Source organism: Homo sapiens, chromosome 11 (assembly GCF_000001405.40).
Source record: "Homo sapiens chromosome 11, GRCh38.p14 Primary Assembly".
Classification (NCBI taxonomy): Eukaryota; Metazoa; Chordata; class Mammalia; order Primates; family Hominidae; genus Homo; species Homo sapiens.
In genome coordinates, this window is record NC_000011.10 from 106,104,115 (window position 1) to 106,111,887 (window position 7,773).

Below are 7,773 nucleotides of genomic sequence, written 5' to 3' on the forward strand. Positions count from 1 at the left end.
GGGAAAATGCAGTCTTGGCCTGAGTCCATCTCATAATGTGGTTATTTCCCCAGTTTCACTTGAATAGTGGAATAAATACACGGTTGTCTCTCAGTATCTGTGGGGGTTGGTTGCAGGACCCCCCTCAGATACAAAATCCATGGGTGCTTAAGACCCTTATATAATGGCATAGTATTTGCACATCCTAAGCCCATCCTCTCAGCTACTTGAAATCCTCTCTAGATCACTTACAATACGTAATTATTGTTGTACTCTATTGTTTTCCTAATGTATATTATTTTTATTGTTGTATTGTGTTTTAAATTTTGAACAGTTGTTGGCTGAATCCACAGTTGCGACCCCTACAGATAGAGAGGGCCAACTGTACTTACTAATTTGCAGGTGCCCCACATTGGTTCCTTTCCCTGCGAGGTGAAAATTGTGGTAGCAAGGACCAAGTGGAAGCCCCTAGAACCGCTCATCCCTGCCTCCAGCTAAGGCAGTAAGCCAAGTAATACTGCATCCCTAAAGGAACTGCAGAGATTAGTGCCACAATCAGACACTTGAAAGATGTAGAGGGGTGATGTGGATGTTTTCACTCCAAACTTCCTAATTTTCCCTGGCCTGGGAGTGGCATGGATGCTGTTCTTGTTCCTTAGGTACACTGTCAGACAATTCTCCTTCCTTCCTCACATCATCAATCTATGCCACCCACCATCTCTTAGTGCAGTCATCTCTTCATCCAGTGTTACTTGCCCACATCCCCATTGAGCTTACCTGTTTGGCTAAGGCAAAATATTAGTCTTGGGAAATGACTGTAGATTATTGAAATTTAATCAGATAGTGATGTCAATTTTGGGTGTTGTTACTGGAACAAGTCAACACAACCCATGGGACCTCAAATGAAATTGTTCACTTAGCAAATGCTTTCTTTTTAATTCCTATCAGCAAAGAAACTCAAAAGCAATATATCTTCATATGACAGAGACAGCAGTCACTGTTTTGTAGCTCTCGGGTTCTCTATCACAATGTAGTCAAGAGGGGCCTTGATCCATTACACTGATAGCATTCTGTTTTCTGGTGACCTTGGTGGTAAGACACATGCATGCCAGAAGATAGGAGATAAATGCTGTAAAAGTTCAGAGGCTTGACATAGGGAATAAAGGAATATTCCCTCTAAAATGAAAGGGGTTGCATCGTTTTGCACCAAACACAATAAATAGAGCAGCATAATGCTTGATGAGCTTCTATGAATTTTTGAAGGCAAAATAACTATGTCTGATCTGTTGCTATAATCCACTTACCTGGTAGCTCCTAAGGCTGCCTGTTTGGAGGGGAGCCATGTATCTGTGAAAATTCTGTCAGGCCAATGGAGGCACTACAAATGTAACAGGTAATTTTACCTCTGACCACTGCTTACCTTTATGTTAGTTCTTCCTCATCCTCTCAAATCATTGAACATTCCAAATCTTGGTCCTCATAGCTCATCACTTTTCTATTAATACTTATTCCCTTGGTGATCTCATTCATTCTCAAGCTTCAAGTACTATCCATATGCTGATGCCTCCCAAATATTTAATGTCTGTCCACACCTCTCAAGACCTCTTACCTGCCTCCAGTCTCAGATTTCCAGATGCCTACACATGTCCTCTTGATATCCACTGGTAGCTTGCACATAATACGTTTGAAAGTAAGTTCTTACTAGGCATTCCCCACCCCTTCTTACCCAAACCTCTACCATCCCTGGGATCATTTGTCCCTCTGTCCTTCTGTCTTCCTCCATCTCAGTATATGGGATCTTCATCCTTCCAGCCACTTGGACTCAAATCCATGGAATCATCCTCTTTTCTCTCCTACTCCACACATATGCTTCTTTCTTATACACAGTACTTGAGTACTTCTTTCAACACACAATACTTGAGCAAAACTGTCAGTTCAACCTTCAAACCACACCCAGAGTTGGACCACTCTTCACCATCTCCGCCGCTCCTCACCTGGTCCAGGCCACCACTGCCTCACCTGGGTGATTGCCACGGTCTCCCCAATGGACTCCCTACTTCCAGTCTTTCCCCCTTCAGTATATTCTCCGCATTGCAGCCATCTCCCTCACAGTAAAAGCCAGAGTCTTTCTAACAAGCATAGTAGCCTACATGATCTGGCCTCTGTTGCTCCCTACTGTACTATTCTCTTTCTCATTCTCATTTCCTACTCTTATTCTCACTTCCTATTAGGTCGGTGCAAAAGCAATTGCAGTTTCAGACCGTGAATTTTAAATCATTATAACTAAGCTCAGACACATCTTTATTAATCAAAGTAGGAACCATTACAATCAACACAGTTTTGCCAGTGAGAAATAAGTTTATTCCTGTAGCATAAAAATCCATGCTTCAGGATTTGACAAACTCTTGGAAAGAATTTTCTGCATCCTGCTGGTTCTGGGAGCGTTTTCCCTGCAAAAAGTGGTGGTTGGTTGGCAAGAGCTCAGGTGAATATGGCAGATGAGGCAAAATTTCATAGCCCAATTTGTTCAACTTTTGAAGCATTGGTTATGCGATGGGCAGTCAGGCGTTGTTGTGAAGAAGAATTGAGCCTTTTCTGTGGGCCGATGCTGGCTGCAGGAGTTGCAGTTTTCGATGCATCTCATCGATTTGCTGGGCATAATTCTCAGATGTAATGGTTCTGCAGGATTCAGAAAGTTGTAGTGGATCAGATGGGCAAGAGACCACCAAACAGTGACCGGGACCTTTTTGTTTTGCAAGTTTGGCTTTGGGAAGTGTTTTGGAGCTTCTTGTTGATCCAGCCACTGAGCTGGTCATCACCAGTTAACATATAAAATCCACTTTTCGTCTCACATCACAATCCGATCAAGAAACGGTTTGTTGTTTTTGCGTAAAATAAGAGAAGACACTTTTAAAAACTTTTTATTTTCAGTTAGCTCATGAGGCACCCACTTACTGAGATTTTTCACCTTTCCAATTTTCTTCAAATGCTGAATGACTGTAGCATGGTCGACGTTGAGTTCTTCGGCAACTTCTTGTGGAGTTTTAAGAGGGTTCGATGGTTGCTCTCAATTGGTCGTTGTCAACTTCCAATGGCTGGCCGGTACACTCCTCATCTTCAAGGCTCTCGTCTCCTTTGCAAAACTTCTTGAACCACCACTGCACTGTACATTCATTAGCAGTTCCTGGGCCATATGTGTTGCTGATATTGCGAGTTGTCTTTGCTGCTTTACAACCCATTTTGAACTCGAATAAGAAAACGCTCGAATTTGCTCTTTGTCTAACATCGTTTCCACAGTCTAAAATAAACATAAATAAACAGCAAGTAATAAGTCATTAGCAAAAAAAAAAGCGAGAAATGCCCGTTAAAATGATATATAACATAACTACATTTATTTAAGAATATATTCCAATATCAACAGCGCAAAAACCACAATTACTTTTGCACTCAACTAATACTATTCTCCCTATCTTCACTTTACTGCAACCACACTGGAATCCTCCCTGTTCCTTGAATATACTAGGCACAGTCCTACTTCAGGTCTCTACATTTGCTGTCCCTTTGTCTGGAATGTTCTTCTCCCAGATACTCGCATTGTTCACCCCTTACTTCCATCAGATCTTTATTTGACAGTCATCTCCTTAGTGACTACCCCCGGACACTCTAAAATTGTACATCATTCTGTTTCCCATCCCCAACACTCCAGATCTAGGTTCTCTGCTTTATTTTCCCTGTGGGGCTTAACCACAATCAAACGCACCATACATTTTAGTGTCTTCATTATTGTATGTCTCAGCTCCAGTCCTTGCCAGACTATAAGATCCAAGGAAGACAGGGATTTAAACTAGTTTTGTTTACTCCTATTTCCCCATGGTCTTATAACAGTGCCTAGCTCATATAAAGGCTCAATAACTATTTGTTGAATGAATGAATGCTGTGGTTTTGTTTTAGTTGTCTAGGGCTACCATAACAAAGTACCACAGACTATGTGGCTTAAACAGAAATTTATCTCCTCACAGTCCCGAAGGGCTAGAAGTCTGAGATTAGGGTGTCAGTAGGGTCGGTTTCTTCTGAGACCTCTCTCCTTGGTTTGTAGATGACCCTCCTCTCCCCCTCTCCCTGTGTTTCTGCATGGTCTTTATGTTGATCTGTGTCTTCATCTCTTCTTACGAGGACACCAGTCATATTAGATTAGTGCCCACCCTAATGACATCATTTAACCCTAATTACCCCTTAATTATCTTATGTCCAAATACTGGCACATTCTGAGATACTAGGGATTAGGACTTCAACATATGAATTTGGGGTGACAAAATTCATCCCACAACATGTCTCTACCCCTATGACATAATTATTCACTTTCTCAGATGGATTATTTATTTCCCCATTCTCTCTATTTGCTCACATAATGCTAATCTCTTTCTTTCTTTGCCAATATTCCAATTTTCAAGTACAGTCATGCGTTGCTTAATGATAGGGCTATATTATGAGAAATGTGTCCATTAGGTGATTTCATTATTGTGTGAACATTATAGAATATACTTACACGAACCTAGATGGTACAGCCTACTACACACCTAGGCTATATGGTAGAGGCTATTGCTCCCAGGCTACAAATCTGAACAACATATTACTGTACTGAATACTGTAGGCAATTATAACATAATGGTAAGTATTTATGTATATAAACATATCTATACGTAGAAAAAGTACAGTTAAAATATGGTATAAAAGACTAAAAGTGGTATGCCATTTTTAATGGTACACATTGTATAGGGCAATTACCATGAATAGAGATTACAGGGCTGGAAGTTGCCCTGGGTGCATCAGTGAGAGAGTAGTGAGTCAATGTGGAGTCCTAGGACCTTACTATCCACTACTGCAGATGTTATCAACACTATACACCTCGGCTACACTAACACTATAAGAAATATTTTTCCGGCCGGGCGCGGTGGCTCACGCCTGTAATCCCAGCACTTTGGGAGGCCGAGGCGGGCGGATCACGAGGTCAGGAGATCGAGACCATCCCGGCTAAAACGGTGAAACCCCGTCTCTACTAAAAAATACAAAAAATAGCCGGGCGTGGTGGCGGGCACCTGTAGTCCCAGCTACTTGGGAGGCTGAGGCAGGAGAATGGCGTGAACCCGGGAGGCGGAGCTTGCAGTGAGCCGAGGTCCCGCCACTGCGCTCCAGCCTGGGCGACAGAGCGAGACTCCGTCTCAAAAAAAAAAAAAAAGAAATATTTTTCCTTCTTCAATAATAAATTAACTTTAGCTTAGTATAGCTTTTAAACTTTATAGACTTTTATGTTTTAAACATTTTTACTCTTTTGTAACAAAACTTAAAACACACACATCGTATGCTCTACAAAAATATTTTCTGTTTGTATCCTTATTCTATAAGCTTTTCTCTATTTTTGAAATTGGGACTTTTTTTTACTTTTTGTTAAAATCTAAGTCGCAATGCACACACATTAGTTTGGGCCTGTACAGATTCAGGACCATCAATGTCACTGTCTTCCACCTCCACATCTTGTCCCACTGGAAGGTCTTCAGGGGCAATAACATACAAGGATCTGTCATCTCCTGATAACAATGCCTTCTGGAATATCTCCTAAAGGGCTTGCCTGAGGCTGTTTCACAGAAGTAGAAGGAGTAAATTTTAAAATAACAATTAAATGTATACTATAGTAAATACACAACCCAGTAACAGTCATTTGTTATCATTATCAAGTATTCTGTACTGAACATACTTGTATGCACTAGACTTTCATACAACCGGCAGTGTTGCAGGTTTGTTTACACCAGCATCACCACAAACACGCGAATAATACATGGTGCTGTGAAGTTACAACAGCTATTATGCCACTAGGCAATAGGAATGTTTCAGCCCCATTATAATCTTATGAGGCCACTATTGTATATGTGGTCTATCATTGACCAAAATGTCATAATCTGCTACATTACTGTATATATTTCTATATTTATTTGTATAAAATCTCTGTCTTCCTTCCACCTTTGGACTCTTAAGTTCCAGGCATTCTGTTAACACTTGACTAATATTCTTAATTTAAACATCATAGCCACACTACAAAGTAAGCACCGTTACTTGTATTTCAAGAATGTAAAATCTGAGGCCCAAGGAAATTAGACAATTTTTCAGAGGTCATATTAACTCATAAATGATGTCATTCTGATTTTAATTTAGTTTCCACAGACTCAAAAGCACATTCTTTTATATCTATACCACATTGTCATCAAGATGAATGGTGAAAATCATACTTCTGCCTTATATGTTGTGAGTGAAGCTGCCCTTGAAGGAAGTCTCCTGTTTCAGGAAATGAGATTAAGTTTAGATTCTGAATAATTATCCCCATAAATTGAATTTGGATGTTATATTTATATTTTTTACTACTGCAATTTGTATAGTCCTTGATGATCATTTAAATTTATTCTGCACAATTTAACAATTAAAAAATATTAAAAGTTGTTTCCTTATGAAAGTGTCAGAATTACACAATGAATTAATAATGTTGAAGCAACGGCTATAATTTTATACTAAAATGTAAAGGAAAAAGCCATTGCTTTTGTTTTTTTTGTTTGTTTGTTTTTTGTTTGTTTGTTTATTTCATTGCTTTTGTTAAAACAGTGTAACATATGTTCTTGATAAAAATGCCAGGGCTTTATTGGTGAAAACCGTAGTAGGCTTTGAAAGCCAGTTACTTATAATTAAGTGAATATCATTGTCTCTTTGGGTGTAGATGATTGTTTAAAATAGAAATTTTTTTATTGATTTTATATTTTAGAAAGAGCTTTGCTTTAAAATATATATCATGTTGGCAATGAAAAACTTAATTCCAGTGGATACCAGTTGTGAAATCATTAAGTTGATAAAAAAATAGCTGTCCATAATTTTGATATACAAATAGAAATACTATAGGTCATAGTGCAACTACTTATAACTGTTGAACTCTGGTTTTTATTTTGCATTTCCAAACAAACTGTTGCTCAGAGTTTGTGGATGATGATCTAGTGGCCATTTAATGGTAGTTTTTAAATTGGTGTCAAGAGGTGGAAGGGCAGAGATGGTGCTTTCATTGACTCTTAAGTATAAGGAAAATGTTACTGGTTTTTTATTTCTGTGTATATGAAGCTCCTAAAAATAAAAGGTTAGAGCATTTTATCCAAATAAATATCTTTTCAGAGCATATGAACACTGTGAAGGAGCTAAAGACTTAGATAATAATCAATACCTGTGAAATCTGATATTAATTTAGGGATTTAAAATAGACCTGTAGACAGTGAAACATTTGCAGTGAATGATAATTGAAACAAAGAAATACTCTGAATTTTCAAGTATAAATTCCTGTTGTTTTCCTAGGAACCCCTCATATATAAATGAGTGCAGTTGGTCATGAAGTTGACTGAAAACATTAATCACTTAGTAACACGGAAGAGGTAAGCATAATCTGATGAAATTCGGTTTATATCATTGTTGGAGACCTATTTTATTTAACAATCAAAGAATTAATATGAGCCAAGCTCAGTGGTGCACATCTGTAGTCCCAGCTACTCTGGAGACTGAGGCAGGAGAATCCCTTGAGCCCAGGAGTTAGAGGCCAACCTGGACAATATATCAAGACACTCTCAGAAAAAAAAAATTTAATTTGAGGTATTTTTCTTTTATTTGAATATTCAAGATAAAGCTGTGCATCTTGAAACATATGAATTAAAGCCATTTTAAAGCTGAGATAGGCTAGAAAAGCCTTATCCTGGAATCTTAATAAAGGTAGTC